The sequence below is a fragment of the Homo sapiens genome, chromosome 5, assembly GCF_000001405.40.
Source record: "Homo sapiens chromosome 5, GRCh38.p14 Primary Assembly".
Taxonomy (NCBI): Eukaryota; Metazoa; Chordata; class Mammalia; order Primates; family Hominidae; genus Homo; species Homo sapiens.
The window spans coordinates 147206843-147225200 of record NC_000005.10 but is presented as its reverse complement, the minus strand read 5'-3'; the positions used below and the strand labels follow the sequence as shown (position 1 = coordinate 147225200).

At 36.9% G+C, this 18358-nt stretch overlaps 1 long non-coding RNA gene across 2 annotated transcripts in view; it reads left to right on the top strand.

The window, feature by feature from the left end:
- The window catches only part of STK32A-AS1 (STK32A antisense RNA 1), a 57897-nt gene that overhangs the window by 9731 nt on the left and 29808 nt on the right, over positions 1–18358 (top strand). Inside the window, exons 2-3 of one of the 2 annotated variants that reach the window (NR_147191.1) lie at positions 11279–11518; positions 14924–16531. The exons of the other annotated variant lie outside the window; for it this stretch is intronic. This is a non-coding gene — a long non-coding RNA (STK32A antisense RNA 1). Of the gene's footprint in view, positions 1–11278; positions 11519–14923; positions 16532–18358 lie in introns of those variants that run through there. 2 annotated transcript variants of the gene reach the window in all.

Genomic DNA, 18358 nt, shown 5'->3' with positions numbered 1-18358 from the left:
TTTTGATTATCTTCATGGCATTGGAGATGCACTACAAATTTGTTGGGTCTGTAAGTCTCTTTTTTTCCCCTGGGGAAATAACAATCAAGGAAATTGAAACTGCAAGAAAGTGATCTGAGACTTGAACTGAAGTCTATGGAAAACTCTTTAATTTGGTGTTCTGGTTGGCATGGAGGGCTTTGGAGTCAAGCACTCTTTCATCCAAATGCCAGCTCCACCAATAATATATCTGAGATGTTGGACAAGTCACTTAAAGGCCCTAAACCTCAGTTTTCCATTTTCAGTAAAGGAACCAATGGTCATCTCTATCAGCTTTTGAGATTAATATCAGGATTAATGAAGGATTAAATGAGATTTTATATATATATTGCACTTAAAACAGTGCTAGGCAGCACAGAGTAAACACTCAGAAACTGACAACTGTTAAGGTCATTTTAATTAGCAGGCCACCAGGTTATGCCCAAATACCTCTCATGTCTGTTGTCTAAATCTTTCTTCTGTTGGAATAGTCACTTTGACTTAAAATAAAACTAGCCAGTCATAATGTATTTGTTCATGTAAAGGCACGGCATACCATAGGTTCTATAGAAAAATAGTGATGCTTATTTTGCCTCATATTCATGCTGTCAAATGCAGAACTGTTTCACAGAGCTGATTGTGTTTTTATCTTTTATTTATTCAGTTGTTCATGCTCTCTTGTTGGTGTTCCCATCTTAAACATAGCTAGCTTTTGGGGAAATTCAGAGACTGCCACAAGAAGGGTGCTTGGGAGACTAGACTGCATTCTTGAAACAATCTCTGGAGCCCCCCAGTGGAGAGGGGAATGAAGTAAAGACTAAGCCAGTGAGAAAGTCTTGTCCAGATAGATACACAAAATTTTTTACAATTAAAAAAGTAAATAATGGCTTACAACACAAATTTGAATACCATGCGGTTTCAACTATATCACTGGTGGCTTAAAACTGTATGCTGGGTTCCACTGCATTTAGACAGGGCCTGATACTGTCCAATCCCGGTCACTCTGTCCACCTTTATCTATGATCTGTTCACTCCACTCCAGCCCATCAGCCCTTCTGCTCTTTGCAGATCACACTGAGCTTGTCCCCACCCCAGGACATTTGAGTGGCTCTTACTTATGCATGAATGCAGTTCTAGACTTTTCCTCATTCAGCTGTCTGCTCATATTTCTCCTGCTCAGGAAGACCTCCCCTCAACTCTTCTGATGTTGTTTCCTCACCACTTCCTCCATTCTCCACTGTACACCCTAATTCCTTCCATCATGTCACTCATCATGAGCTATCATTATTTTGCTTGTGTAACAACTTTGCTGTGTTTCTCCTCATTGAGTGCAGCTTCCATGAGGATAAGAACATCTCTCTTGTCCACCATTATATATACAGGACTGAATCCAGTATTTGGCACATTAAATAAATTGCTAACATAATTACATGTTTATTATTTCCATCATTCTTTCCATTGAGTAATTTAGGAGGAAAATATGAAGAAGACACCTTGTACTGCAAAGCAGTAACCATTCACTGGTGAAGTAAACAGACCTTTTACAGTGCTATGTTTAAAGGGAACAAAGAAAAGTTGGAAACTGTTACTGGACCTGAGGATTTTGTGGTTTGGATAGAGGCAGAAACCACAGCCTGAGATTGACAGGTGCCTGGCTGGGAGCCCTCGCAAAGCACTGACCAGATCAGCTATCTCTGCCTCAAAGAGCCAGAAGCCTCAGTAACATTTGATCTGTGTCTTGAAAGATGAATAGAGTGTCACTAGACAGAGAGGAGGGCATTCGAGGTTTGGAGAATGGAGGCATAAAAAGCATAATATCTGGGGAGAGTTATTAGAAGTTTAGTGTGATTGTAGTGTAGGGAGTGTAGTGATGAGGGAAAGATCTTGGAAAACCAAGTCTTCTGTGAAAAAGTTTACAGTTTAAACCATCGCAGCAATAGGAAGCCTTTTAGATGTGTTAGCAGGAAAATAGACCTCATTAGAGTTGAGTTTTAGTAAGATTACTCTGCCCTCTTTACACATGACAAAGCCTTATTTTCTGCTGGCTGGATATGCAAATTACTTTACTAAAAAGATGAGTTATCATAACAAAAAGAAAATTCTCCTTAATTATAAGAAAATAATCAGGTCCTAGCACAATGTCTCATATTTAGGAAATTATCTATTAATTGTTGAATCCAACTCAATGTTCAGTTTTACCTGCTTTGCTCACTTCTACAAATACCATCACATTCAGAGAGTACATACAATAACCTCCTACAGAAGATTTTTCTTTAGATATTATCTTGACAGAGATCATCCATTTTATTTTCCAATTTCATTGAGTGATTGGAGTTTACAGTTTCTAAACAGCCGTTACAAATTCTGTAACCTCAAGTTCATTATCTGTTTAATAACCCATTCCCACAGTTTTGATCATTTGTCTACAGTGGGGAAAACACCATGCTGGGAACTGGAGATACAAAGATAAATAAACCAGTCTTTGCTCTTGAGGAGCAAGCACTCTAGTGAGCTCACAGTACATATCATGCTGCCTTCACTACTAGTCACCCCTGTGAGTTTGACATAATTTAATTGACAGAGAGAGAGGGAAACAACCCTAGGAAGTAATGGGGACATTTTATTTCTAGGGCTGCAAAGAAAAGCTAGAGATAGTATTAAAATATTCCCTATTACATGATTATTAGAAAAATATTATTACCTGAGAAGGAGAAGGAAAGTGGATATGAGTTATGGTTTCTAATATGTGTGCGTGTGTGTGTGTACTCATTTATTCAACTGCATTGAGGTGTGAATAGTTTAATTGCTCCCCAGAAAACTTGCATAGTAGAGCATTGTTGTTGAGCAAAAATAGCGTTAGCATCAAATTGACCCAAGTTTATTTCCTTATTCACCACCTAGAGCTTCATAAGCTGGTGCAAGTCATTTAGACCCTGAGAGTTTTTGTTTCTTAAACTGTATAATATACAGATACTGGTAGAGTACATACTCCTGAAAAGCATTGTGTTGATTAAGTGAGATAATGCAAGAAAGCACTTAGTGTAATGCCTTGAGCAGTATGGGTACCCAATAAGTTTATTAATGTTATTACCAGATGCCTATCTTTTGTACAAAAAGTGTGGAAGTGTTTATCTCACTGCACCCTCATCAGCACTGACTATTTTGAAAGATCATTGCTGAAAGTCATACCTATGACATTAAACAATGTGGATTCTTATTTTAAGGAGATTATCATCAACTAAAAACCTGACAATTTTAATAGGGGGTAACAAGGTCATGATAGCAGAAGTGAGGGTGCTTTGTGAGCACATAAATGAAGTAGCCACTCTAGTATAGGGATGTCAGCAAAGGTGTCACCAAAAAAAGTATTCAAACTTGGTCTTAAAAATAGAGTACAAGTTAGTTGTGCAAAGAGAAGGGGATGAGAGTCTTCCAGCCAAAGGGAACTGCATGAACAGCCAGAGGGAAAGCTGTGTAGGCAAGACAAAGTTAGGTATGTTCAAGAAAACCAAAGAGTTTCAGTGTAGACAGGTTATGAAGGAGGCAGGCACTATATGCACAGAAAACAGCCATTGCAGTATCCTAGATGTGATAGAGGCCATGTTCAATCGTGTCTCTTTATAAAATATGCATGGGAAACCCATAAATCGTGTGTTGCTTTCTTCTGTTTTCAGGACAGAAAATAGAAATAAATGGTTTAGGTAAGTTTCCAAACTTCCAGGTCTGGTTTACTGCAAAGCCAATATCAGTTTCACTATACTATAAGCTTCGACTCTGTATGACATGTGTGTGGTGTGTGCTTGTATATGTATGTCGTAATATAATTTTAATCCATTTTTCTATATCATAAATATAAGATTTAAAAATACAGTCTTAAAAAGATAACATTTCCATGAAGTTGTTTTAAAACAGGACATATCAACCTTGTCTATCTTATCTCAGTTATTCAGAGTATTCCACCAAATGTTCTATAAATGATAGCTCAAAATATATAAATGGTTTAATTCTTAAACAAATTCTATATTATAAAGAAAGAAATCAGACACTCACATCTTGATTTTGTTTTCCACATTTTTAGTTTACCTCATTCTTTTTCTGTTTTACATATAACGTAACATTTATTATCTTAACCATTTTTAAGTGTACAGTTTGGTGGCACTAAGTACATTCATATCCTTGTGTTACCACCATGACCATCCACTCATAGAACTCTTCATCTTGCAAAACTGAAACTCTGTACCTACTAAAAAATAATTTCCCATTCCCTCCTCCTCCCAACCCCTGGAAACCTCTATTTTACTTGCTATCTCTATGAATTTGACTACTCTAGATACCTCATATAAGTGGAATCATACAGTATTTGTACTTTGTGACTTACTAATTTCATTTATCATAGTGTTTTCACAGTTCACTCATGTTGTTGCATGTGCCAGAATTTCCTTCCTTTTTAAAGACTGAGTGCTATTTCATTGCATGTACACATCATATTTTGTTTATTCATTTATTCATTAATATACAGTTGGATTACTTGTAACATTTGGCTATTGAGAAGAATGCTTCTATGAGCATTACTTACAAATATCTCTTCAGGTTCCTGCTTTCAGTTCATTTGGGTATATACACCCAAAGTGGAATTGCTGGATTATATGGTAATTTTATTTTATTTATTTATCTATTTTTTATTTCCTTTTCTTTTTTAAATTATACTTTAAGTTCTGGGGTACATGTGCAGAACGTGCAGTTTCATTACATAGGTATACACGTGCCATGTTGGTTTGCTGCACCCATCAACCCATCATCTACATTAGGTATTTCTCCTAATGCTATCCCTCTCCTAGCCCCCCACCCCCCGACAGGCACCGGTGTGTGATGTTTCCCTCCCTGTGTCCATGAGTTCTCAATGTTCAACTCCCACTTATCGGCGAGAACATGTGGTGTTAGGTTTTCTCTTCCTGTGCTAGTTTGCTGAGAATGATGGTTTCCAGCTTCATCCATGTCCCTGCAAAGGACATAAACTCATTCTTTTTTATGGCTGCATAGTATTCCATGATGTATATGTGCCACATTTTCTTTATCCAATCTATCACTGATGGACATTTGGGTGGGTTCCAAGTCTTTGCTACTGTGAATAGCGCTGCAATAAATATACGTGTACATGTGTCTTTATAGTAGAATGATTTATCATCCTTTGGGTATATACTCAGTAATGGGATTGCTGGGTCAAATGGTATTTCTAGTTCTAGATTACTGAGGAATGGCCACACTGTCTCCCACAATGGTTGAACTAATTTACCCTCCCACCAACAGTGTAAAAGCATTCCTATTTCTCCACATCCTCTCCAGCATCTGTTGTTTCCTGACTTTTTAATGATCACCATTCTAACTGGCTGTAATATGACATCTCATTGTGGTTTTGATTTGCATTTCTCTAATGACCAGTGATGATGAGCATTTTTTCATGTTTGTTGGCTGCATAAATGTCTTCTTTTGAGAAGTGTCTGTTCACAGACTTTGCCCACTTTTTGATGAAGTTGTTTGTTTTTTTCTTGTAAATTTGTTTAACTTCATAGATTCTAGATATTAGTCCTTTGTCAGATGGGTGATAGATTACAAAAGTTTTCCCCCATTCTATAGGTTGCCTGTTCACTCTGATGATAGTTTCTTCTGCTGTGCAGAAGCTCTTTAGTTTAATAAGATCCCATTTGTCAATTTTGGCTTTAGTTGCTCTTGCTTCTCTAGTTCTTTTAATTGTGATGTTAGGGGGTCAATTTTAGATCTTTCCTGCTTTCTCTTGTGGGCATTTAGTGCTATAAATTTCCCTCTACTCACTACTTTAAACGTGTCCCAGAGATTCTGGTACGTTGTGTCTTTGTTCTCATTGGTTTCAAAGAACATCTTTATTTCTGCCTTCATTTTGTTATTTACCCCGTAGTCATTCAGGAGCAGGTTGTTCAATTTCCATGTAGTTTTGCGGTTTTGAGTGAGTTTCTTTATCCCGAGTTCTAATTTGATTGCACTGTGGTCTGAGAGACTGTTTTTTTAAGATTTTCGTTCTTTTACATTTGCTAAGGAGTGTTTTACTTCCGATTATGTGGTCAATTTTAGAATGAGTGCAGTGAGGTACTGAGAAGAATGTATATTCTGTTGATTTGGGGTGGAGAGTTCTGTAGATGTCTATTAGGACTGCTTGGTCCAGAGCTGAGTTCAAGTCCTGAGTATCCTCGTTAATTTTCTGTCTCGTCATTCTACCTAATATTGACAGTGGGGTGTTAAAGTCTCCCACTATTATTGTGTGGGAGTCTAAGTCTCTTTTTAGGTCTCTGAGAACTTGCTTTATGAATCTGGGCACTCCTATATTGGTTGTATATACATTTAGGATAGTTAGCTCTTCTTGTTGCATTGATCCCTTTACCATTATGTAATGCCCTTCTTTGTCTCTTTTGATCTTTATTGGTTTAAACTCTGTTTTATCAGACATTAGGATTGTAATTCCTGCTTTTCTTTTTGCTTTCCAATTGCTTAGTAAATATTCCTCCATCCCTTTATTTTGAGCCTATTGTGTCTTTGCCCATGAAATGGGTCTCCTGAATACAGCACACTGATGCATCTTGAGTCTTTATCCAATTTGCCAGTCTGTGTCTTTTAATTGGGGCATTTAACCCATTTACATTGAAGTTTAATATTGTTATGTATGAATTTGATCCTATCATTATGATGCTAGCTGGTTATTTTGCCCATTAGTTGATACAGTTTCTTCTTAGTGTCGATGGTCTTTACAATTTGGCATGTTTTTGCAGTGGCTGGTACCGGTTGTTGCTTTCCATGTTTAGTGCTTCCTTCAGGAACTCTTGTAAGGCAGGCCTGGTGGTGACAAAATCTCTCAGCATTTGCTTGTCTGTCACGGATTTTATTTCTCCTTCACTTATGAAGCTTAGTTTGGCTGGATATGAAATTCTGGGTTGAAAATTATTTTCTTTAAGAATGTTGAATATTGGCCCCCACTCTCTTCTGGCTTGTAGGGTTTCTGCAGAGAGATCTGCTGTTAGTCTGATGGTCTTCTCTTTGTGGGTAATCCAGCCTTTCTTTCTGGCTGCCCTTAACATTTTTTCCCTTCATTTCAAACTTGGTGAATCTGAGGATTATATGTCTTGGGATTGCTCTTCTTGAAGAGTATCTTTGTGGTGTTCTCTGTATTTCCTGAATTTGAATGTTGGCCTGTCTTGCTAGGTTGGGGAATTTCTCCTGGATATCATACTGAAGAGTGTTTTCCAACTGGGTTCCATTCTCCCCATCACTTTCAGTACACCAATCAGATGTAGATTTGGTCTTTTCACATAGTCCCATATTTCTTGGAGGCTTTGTTCGTTCCTTTTTATTCTTTTTTTCTCTAATTTCGTCTTCTCGGTTTATTTATTTATTAAGTTGATCTTCAATCTCTGATATCCTTTCTTCCACTTGATTGATTCAGCTATTGATATTTGTGTATGCTTCACGAAGTTCTCGTGCTGTGTTTTTCAGCTCCATCCGATCATTTATGTTCTTCTCTAAACTGGTTATCCTAGTTAGCAATTTGTCTAACCTTTTTTCAAGATTATTAGCTTCCTTGCATTGGTTTAGAACATGCTCTTTTAGCTCGGAGGAATTTGTTATTACCCACCTTCTGAAGCCTACTTCTGTCAATTTGTCAAACTCACCCTCTGTCCAGTTTTGTTTCCTTGCTGGTGAGGAGTTGTGATCCTTTGAAGGAGAAGACGCATTCTGGTTTTTGGAATTTTCAGCATTTTTGCGCTGGCTTCTCCCCATCTCTGTGGATTTATCTACCTTTGGTTTTTGATGTTTGTGACCATCAGATGGGGTCTCTGAGTGGACATGCTATTCCTGTTTGTTAGTTTTCCTTCTAACACTCAGGCCCCTCTGCTGCAGGTCTGCTGGAGTTTGCTGGAGGTCCACTCCAGACCCTGTTTGCCTGCGTATCACCAGCAAAAGCTGCCAGACAGCAAAGATTGATGCCTGATCTTCCCTTTGGAAGCTGCATCCCAGAGGGGCACCAGCCAGATGCCAGCCAGAGCTCTCCTGTATGAGGTGTCTGTCTGCACCTAGTGGGAGGCGTCTCGCAGTCAGGATACACGGGGGTCAGGGACCCACTTGAGGAGGCAATCTGACCATTAGCAGAGCTCGAAAGCTGTGCTGGGAGGTCTGCTACTCTCTTCAGAGCCGTCAGGAAGGGACGTTTAAGTCTGCTGAAGCTACACCCACAGCTGCCCCTTCCACGAGGTACTCTGTCCCAGGGAGATGGGGGTTTTATCTCTAAGTCCCTGACTGGGGCTGCTGCCTTTTTTTCAGAGATACCTTGCCCAGAGAGTAGAAATCTGGCAGTCTGATCACAGTGGCATTGCTGAGTTGCAGTGGGCTCCACCCAGTTTGAGCTTCCTGGCAGCCTTGTTTACACTGTGAGGATAAAACCGCATACTGAAGCCTCAGCAATGGTGGATGCCCCTCCTCCCACCAAGCTCCAGTGTCCCAGGTCACTCTTAGACTGCTGCTGTGCTAGCAGCGAGAATTTCAAGCCAGTGGATCTTAGTTTGCTGGGCTCAGTGGGGGTGGGACCCACCAAGCCAGACCACTTGGCTCCCTGGCTTCAGCCCCCTTTCCAGGGGAGTGAACCATTCTGTCTCCCTGGCATTCCAGACACAACTGGGGTATGGAAAAAACAAAACAAAACAAAACAAACAAACAAACAAACAAAAAAACCAAACCAAAACAAAAAAACTCCTGCAGCTAGTTCGGTGTCTGCCCAAACAGCTGCTGAGTTTTGTGCTTGAAACCCAGGGCCCTGGTGGGGTAGGCACCGGAGGGAATTTCCTGGTCTGCAGGTTGCAAAGACCATGGGAAAAGCGCAGTATCTGAGCTGAAGTGCATGGTTTCTCAGGCTCAGTCCCTTATGACTTCCCTTGAGTAGGGGAGAAAATTCCATGACCCCCTGTGCTTCCCAGATGAGATGATATCCCCCACCCTGCTTTGGCTTGCCCTCCGTGGGCTGTACCCACAGTCCAACAAGTCCCAGTGAGATGAACTGGGTACCTCAGTTGGAAATGCAGAAATCACCTACCTTCTGCAACAATTTCACTGGGAGCTGCAGGCCGGAGTTGGTCCTATTCGGCCACCTTGCCAGCAATCCAGTTTACTTCATTCTTATGAGAGATCAGATAATGTTGTGATATAGAAAGTGAAGGGGAAGCGATCTTATTTACCTATAAACAAATTAATTTGACTCCTTAGGTCTCTGGTTCCCTTCCTAGCCCTTCTCTCCCAACACACATGCACACACACACACACACACACACACACACACACACACACCCTACAGAGTCATAACCCCAGCATATACATATATATCTATATTGAGACTCAGGAGCATGAAGGGGAACAGGCAGTGAACTTGATATTTACCTAGATAACAAACTAAATGGCACTCAGTCTACCATTTTCACCTTCCTTCTTTTTTCTTTTCCTTTTTTTTTTTATAATAAGGATGTCTTTGCAATGTGCTGGCCTCACGCATGACCCAGAAATTAATAGAACGACAAGGATTGTGCTCTGACAATGGACAATGCATCTGATTACATTATGTTTCTTTTTAAAAGTTACCTAGAGACATATTTTAAAATCCATAAATATATAAATATACATTTTTCAGGTGTAGGGTGAAGATTAAGTTTCATTTGGTGTGTATTACTCTGAAATCTTGTTTCTAAAGTTAGGAAGTTCTAGGAATAGTAATTTTTCCCTTTAAAACTTACCCTGCTTACACACAAACTGTTTCTCAGTCTGGTCTATCCATGCTTTAAGTAGATATTTTCTCCAGAGCTGTGAGTTTTTCTACTTTTGGAGGCCATTTCATTGAGAAGCTTAGAAAAGGCAAATATGAAACAATCTAGGGTATAAGTCAAACTAGGAAAGTATCCATGAAATTAAGGGTAAAATGCTGTACTTTGCTCCACAAATCACATCTCTATTTGATGCACATCCAAGAAAGAGTGCTGTTAGTCTTCAGAGGTACTTGTACTGTTTTTGTTTTCTAAAATTCTGTTGAACTTATCATTTTGTACATTCCTGAGTATGAAAGTGACTTACATTTTTAACAAATGAAAATATTGAACTATAAAAGTGGAATGAAAGAAAGAGAAATTCTGGATTTTGCTCTCTTGGATTCCAAAGCAGGGCTAGGCCCGGCATGGTGGCTCATGCCTATAATCCCAGCACTTTGGGAGGCTGAGGCGGGAGGATCGCTTGAGCCCAGGAGTTCGAGACCAGTTTGGACAACATAGGAATACCCTGTCTCTACAAAATAGATAAATAAATTATCCAGGTGTAGTGGCACACACCTGTCTCCCAGCTACTCAGGAGGCTGAGGTGGGAGGATTACTTGAGTCCAGAAGTACAAGGGTGCAGTGAGCTTCTATAATACCACTGCACTCCAGCCTGGGTGCTGGATGACAGAACAAGACCCTGTCAAAAAAAAAAAAAAAGAAGAAGAAGAAAGAAGAAGAAGATGAAAGAAAAAGAAGGAGGAGGAGGAGGAGGGGAAAAAAGAAAGAAAGAAAGAAAGAAAGAAAGAAAGAAAGAAAGAAAGAAAGAAAGAAAGAAAGAAAGAAAGAAAGACGCCCTAATCTTCTGAATACTGGGTATATTTATGAAGTATTACTTCTCAATCTAAACTTTGTTCTGCAAACCCTGTTGCTGTATCATTTGAATATGTAATCATCTCAAATATACTTCCTCTTTATTTCAGGATGGCCATCCTTTGGTGAGTGTTCTTAATAGTTAGGCCTCTATAGAAAATGGCTCAAGATGTAGAGAGTAGTAAAGATCGAGCATTTTGAAAAGAGCCGTTTAGAAGAACCTAGTGGAGTACGCTGAAGCTGAATTACTAAAGAAATTTGCATGCATTTTTCATAGTCAAAGAGACTTCTTTTCAAAATGGGTCTGTAAATTATTCAGCTCAGAGTGACACAATTTCAATGACTTATTTTAAGAAAATTCCAAGTGTGAAACACCATTCTTTGATGTTCTTAAAGTCCACATGATTTTAGTGAAAATCCAAGGAAGGGTCTTATTATGCTAGGTTGTGCCACCTTGCTGTAAGTAGCAAATAATAATAATAAGGATTATATTAATAATGAGGAAACTAAAGAGGAGAAATAGATGAAAACTATCAATAATAATAACAAATATTTATTTCATCTTTTTTATGTGCTAGGCACAGAGCTCAACACTTTATTTGCTCCCTGTCATTCAATGCTAATAATACCAATATTCAGTGAAAAATACTGGAGCTTAAAGGTCAGATCACTTGTCCAGAGTCACAGAACAGAAGCCCAAGTAATCTGGTATAACAGCCAGGCTTTTTTTCTACTACAACATTCTTCATCCTGTATGACATTTTGAAATCTGGAATTAGAAGAGTGGAGTTCATGTGTCGCCTGAAATGATCCTCATGGTAAGCACTGCACCTGTGGGGATGTCATTAGCTCATACCTAGAATCTGACTTTCCATCTGTAAAATAAAGCTAGACTCTGTAGTTTCCCCAGACCCTTCTAGTGCTGCTATTCTATGACCATGGAACATATCTTATGACCTATGCTCAAGGTGACTGTCTTGGTTTGCCCAAGATTGAGAGATTGAGAGAGTTATCAAGATGCGGACTTTTCAGTCTGGGAAAACCTGGATTGCTAGTCCCCTACTACAACATCTGATGTGTTATCTATATTTTGGACACAACCATTTACTGATTTCTTAAACTTCTTTGGGGTTCTTTTGTTTCTCAAAGTCTTAAAGAACTGGGACACAGAATAGTAAGACTTTGTGTTTCTTAGATCAACTGTTGAATATCTGGAACATAGGGGAGATTATTTTGAAGGGACCTGCATTTTCCTACCTGGACATGTTATGCTCAAGTTGTTGGGATGGTTTCCCCTTTCCTTTCCTTATACTTGAAAACAGTTGGCTGGTTTGTTTTGTTAAATTTGCCGTTGCACTGATAGTTGAGGAATGCTTAGTGACAAGAATATAGCATTTGTAATCCATTTGAAACTTTCTCCACTGATGAAAGGGAATGGTTGTGTAGTAATAATAAATTCATTTCTTTAAAAAACACTTTACATGTACTAACTGAATCCTGAAACAGCTGTAATTCCAGGTAGCTATTATTGTCCATACTTTAAAGGTAATAAAACTGAGACTCAGGTAAATTGTAATTTATTGAAGTTAACAAATCTAAACTGGCATTTGAACTGTGGTGCCCCTAAATCAGAGTCCCTGTTTTTCCCGTGCAAATGGTTACTTCTATGGTTCAAACAGCTAACATTTCTAGTTTATTGGAATATGAGTACTGCTTATGGTCCTAAAGATTTCAGGTGAACATACACTTAGATGTCTGGCATTTTGCTTTCAATTCCTGACTTTCTTCCCATACACAATAATCGGATCATTTCTTCAACAGATATGAAACAAGTGCTTTACTTATTGCTGTATTTTTCCCCAACTTTGAAAGTACCTGCTTTTTGGGACAAAGTTTTACTTCCAGTTCTTGTTAAACAAAGATGCGTCTTTATCGCTAAAATAAAAACACAATGACAGTTATAAAATTTCCATGGATCTGGATAGTCCAGGCAACAAGAAAGAACATGTCAATGAAGGCACAGCATTTAACAGAGTGTACATATGAAACTACGATTTTAAATAATATGAACTACAATATGTGTCTATTTACATCCAGTATATTAGAAAATTTATAACTTATTTTTAAGTATAAAAAGTATGCAGATCTTACTTTTTTCATAATTAATATGCATTGACATTCTTTTGCAGTCTCTAAACAAAACTACAAAATTATGGGACTATTACAAATATTTATTGCTTGTCTACTATGTGAATTTAATCCGCACAGAAACCTATGAAGTAAATAATTTATCCCATATACTAATGCAGAATGTAGAGTTCACCAAGGTTAAATTGTACGATTAAGAAACGTAGGAGATGGTATTGAGGACCATACTGAAACCTGGGTTAATCTGACACCATTAGGGTATGTTATATTAGAATTATTCCAGAAATTTCTCTATTTTTGAATTGTTTTGGATGCTCTATTGTATATTAGAGTAGATCTAATTAACTCAAGCAAGTTTACCACTTGTGGCCTTATTTAAATTATGCAACACATTGGTAATCTAGATTCTATAATAGACGTTTTTATGTGACTTTCACCATCCAAGCTATCCATATGCAACTAATTAGGAGTTTGAAAAATGTCTGAATTATTAACTCGATTTTCCTATTTTTATTTGTGTTTTAGGCATTCTGTAAATGTGGTCTATTTCCAACTTCTATCATTATTGAAAGCCATCTTTCTTCCAACCATAGAAAGTTAGATGAACTTTTCTGCAGAAGACATTGTTTATCTTAATTAATTATGTGATTTTAATATTTTCTTCTTTCTAAACACTTAATATGTTTATTCTCCTGCTCAATTGTTGTTTTCTTCTCGCTTAGTTGTTTTTTTCCAGTAATAGGAACTGAAAGTTACCCAAATATTAATGAGAGTTAGAGAAATTGCAAATTATGTATCAACTAATGATAACTATGTTTCTTTATATATATGGAGTTATTAACAGCTCCAAAACTTTCGAACACAAGAAAAGGTTTGAAAAGGTTTTAGAATGTAAATAGGTTCCAACCTAGTTAAATGTGAACTCATATTGACAGTTGATATTAAATAAGCAATTTCCATTTTGCATATATCAGACTTAATCAGAAGCACAGTGATTAAGTTTGCATTATTTGTTGAATCAAAGACTTGTAAAAGCATGAGTAAGCATATGATTAAGCTATTTAAAAAAGAATTATTATCCTAATATTAAACATAAATATCAAAAATTATACTTTGACTTAGAGCATTTTTCCTAAAGATTCTTTCTACCATCCCTGTGAGGGAAGCAGGGACTTATTTCAGCTTATGAAATAGAAGAGTATGGAAGTTACGTTAGTTGTTTTTGTAAATGTAAAAATACTTTAATCAGTAAACTGAACAATTTGAAAAATAGAACACAATGCATCTTTCCCAAGCAGAGTATTTGTTGAATTTACATCTTAACTGGGTTATGAAATACTGACAAATTTCATGTTGAATTTACATTTCACAGTAGCTCTAACATGAAACCTGTAACATTTATGTCAGATTATCTTTATGGTCCCCCGTAAAGGCCTGGTTCCTTTTTATTTTTATGTTTGGAACTTCTTTCTTATAAAACATTTTATAACAAAATAATAAAAATGTTATAATGAAATTCACATTTTAGAAGGGTACCATTGGATGACTTTTTGACAAATATTCATGTTATTTCACTTGCTTTTGCCTCATAATCCTTAAACCTCTGTGTTAAACAACATTTCTTTTGACCTGGCATTCAATCCACAATTTTCTCACCATACTCTGGTTTCAACTTTTTCTGTAAAGAATCAATTAGTAAATATTTTAGGTTTCCGGGACATATGGTGTCTGATACAACTACTTAACTCTGCCATTATAGTGGGAAAATAGCCATAGAGAAAATGAAAGTAAATGAGCATGACTGTTTTCCAATAAAGTATTATTTATGGACACTCAAATTTTAACTTTATATTTCTATGTCATGAAATAGTATTCTTTGGATTTTTCCAATGTTTTAAAAATGTAAAATTCATTTTTAGCTCCAAGGCTATACAAAAACTGATGGCAGCATAGATTTGATCAGCAGGCCTTGGTTTGTTGATCTCTGCTATAAAAGATAATAAAATCACAGAATTTCAGAAAAAGGTCTGGAGAGTATCTCATCTAATGTATTTTTTTTTTTTTTTTTTTTTTAGCCATAAAGGTGACTGAAGCTCAAAAATAAAGGACCTAAGTGGTTTAAAAAATGTCATATGGCATGTCAGAGCATCTGTCCTGGTCAGCTGGTAGTGGTTGCCTGGAGGATTGTGTTGGGATAGGACTATGAAGTCCAATCTGAGTCTCATGGGATGAAAGTCATGTTGTGATTGATTGAAGATGTCTGCTTAGTATGCTACAATGGAACCATACCAAGGGAGTATTTAATGTTTGCAAATTCACATTTTTGTGCTCTGCTAAGGAACAGATTGGTGGATAGGAAGGATCTGAGAAACAGAAATCAAGATTGTGTGAATGGCAGCTTGGAAATGAAAAAGAGAACAAATGAATGAGCAATTAAAATATTGCAGACTCTTCCGATTGCCATTTCATGCAATGAATACATGCCTCTAAGTGAGTGTGAGAACCTTGATAGAATTTCCTGTTCTCTCAGTCAGGAGCATATCTCCATACAGAGTATGATTCTAGGCTTTAAAGCTACTTTTCTTTTCTTTCTTTCTTTCTTTTTTTCCAATGCAACATGTCCCAGAAGCAAGCTACCTACATTAGTTTGCAGTGTTCAATTAGGGTGGGGGAAACACAGTATGTTTCAATAGGGGAGGCAAATTTGGCAATATTGAATGTTTTAAAACATGTTTATTAGGTTTTCATATGCAGTTTTCCTCAAGGCAATTTTGACTTGATGCACTTTCATCTATATTATGTACTTACAAACCACCCCCTTGAAAGGTGTATCTCTACGGTACATCATAAATGTGATATCCTCTAACAAGCCCAAGGTAACATCAGGCATTAAATACTCAACGTTAACTTTAATTAGTACCCTCACCTGCAAGAGTGCAAGTGATTGAAGATTGCAGCAAATGCTTATCCCATTCCTTTAAGTCCCCAGAATGACTGTCTAGACCAATGTCCTTACTCATTCCTTATTCTTCTGAGGCTTTGCTAACTGGAGTACAGGAGCAGTCAGCAGGCCCAGAGGTATGTTTTACCTTTCTGATAACTTTATTGGATGATCAAACCACTGGTTTACCTTGGCCATTTGAATGTCTGTACTAAGTGCTCACTCTGCTAGCCACCCTACAGAAAGAAAGGGATCAGGCCAATAGGAGTTCAAACAATGACCCATAACTCTAGCATTATAAGCTCAGGCCCTAAACTAGGGTCATTCTCAGTCTAGGTCTAGTTGTCAGCTCATAACTATACTAGTCACAACTTATGCGTTCATGTGTTATACCTGCCTGTTTTTGCTTCTAAGGGGATTTTGTTATCAAACAAAGATGGAACATGGACACAGGCAGATAAGAATTCTAAATATAATCCCTTTCTTGCCTTCAGAAATTTCTGTAAAGCCTTTGAAGAATGCAAAAGTGGCTTATTTTGAGTAAAAACTGGAATATTAATCAGGAATTAGATACCTGGCTTGTATTTCAGATTCTGCCTTGGATTGCTGGTCATATTCAACACCTTCTTTATCTGCGGCATAAAGAGACTACTGTGTCTGTCTTTTTTGGCACAAAAGTGATGAAGATAAATGATATATTGTGCTTCAGTATAATTCCTTTGTTAATTATAATATTATATAAACATTGTGATAATAAACATTTTGCTCTACCATAATTATTATCTGTGGGTTTATGACAGATAAGCTTATTTTCCTCAATTCGTTTTAATTTAACAGCAGACACCCCTTTCTTCTTAAAGCCTATAACTATCTGCTAAGCACATCCTTTCAAATTATTGGTTGGGTAAGAAAGAAAATTCAGTGCTCTTGCTGTATATTAACTTGATAATATGGCACAAATAATCTTTGTGTTATAAATAGTTCCCTTTTATACCAGATGCAACTAGAAAGTCAAAGAAAATAATGTTGTAGATGAAGAGAGGCATTATTTCTATTTTCTGGAATGAGCACAGTGCTGCCAGTGTTCAACATTTTTTTCCCCTTTCATGACTTCCACTGACACTGACTCATTGTGCAGCCTTGGTGATTTTCCGTAAGAGGCTTGCCAACAATTGAAGGACCATATTTTTCTGGGGGCAAAGAGAAATGATGGCTGTTTTTTACAACCTGAAAATTCAATAATTTCTAAATTTGTTTTTCAGAAAGTTAATGCTGTAGAACGAAGTAAACGTCTTTCTAAAATTTTAACTTTTTTGGGGGGGGATGGGGGACAAGGGGAGGGAGAGCATTAGGACAAATACCTAACGCATGCGGGGCTTCAAACCTAGATGACGAGTGAATAGGTGCAGCAAACCACCATGGCACATGTGTACCTATGTAACAAACCTGCACATTCTGCACATATACCCCAGAACTTAAAGTAAAATATTTTCTATTAAAAAAATAAAATCTTAAGTACTTTTTTTGAAAAAATTATATTACTATAAGGTAGGATTTTTCAAATAAAGCATTATGGAAATATAATATCTCTGTAAAACTGTACTTATCATAAGTATATAATTATTTGATTTGATCTTTTATTTTCCATATATATTATGCTATTTTTCTGATTTTTTCCAAAAATATATATTTTAACAAAATTGTTTTGTAACTTGACACTGAAAAATTAAATAAAAAACTAACATATATCTTGAATTTTATTTTTAAATATATGCATTTAATTTGGGAAGAATATATAGCAAAATGTTTATAGCAGTAGAAGTCACTGCTGTTTTGTGAGACCAAGGTAATTTGCTTTTTTAAAAAGAAAACCTTTTTTTGTAATTTCTAAGTTCTCTTCAGCTAATACACATTACTTTTATAATCAAGAGGAAAGCCATAAAAATTACAGAGAACTCCAATCCCCCAAATTGCAAAATTTGTCTCCTTTGGGTACAATTGAATTTTTACAAATCACACTCATTTCTCTCAGCATATTGAAATTACTTCTCTATGGTTTCATAATTATTACTAAATCCAGCTTAGGTTTTGCTAGTGCCAAATCCAGATTTGGGCACACATGGACATTTATTCATTTGACTTAGTTTTGTAGAAATATCTCTGTTTACATAGGTATGAACTGGGGCAGTGTTTCCCTATGTTCTAAAAGTTATGATTATCTCTCATAGCATGATATTACTCCACTCCTCCTCCTAAAAATGCTCCATGACTTATTGGTATGAACTAAATTAATGTGTTTCTGGAAAGTAAGTCTTTATTTGCAACTATCTGCTGTGCTCATTAGAGAATCATATGCTAATTCATTGCCAGACATCCTAGTATTTTACAAAATGTGAACTTTTTATTAGCCTCAACAGATTCATCTGTGGACTGGTTAAAATGCAGATTCTTAGGTTTCAATCCAGCCTTCTGAGTCAGAATGAATGGAAAGTGGGTTGTACTCTTCAAGTGATTGATTCTAATGCATACCTTTCAGTTCAGACAATCTCAACTTTCCTTTCAAGAGCTG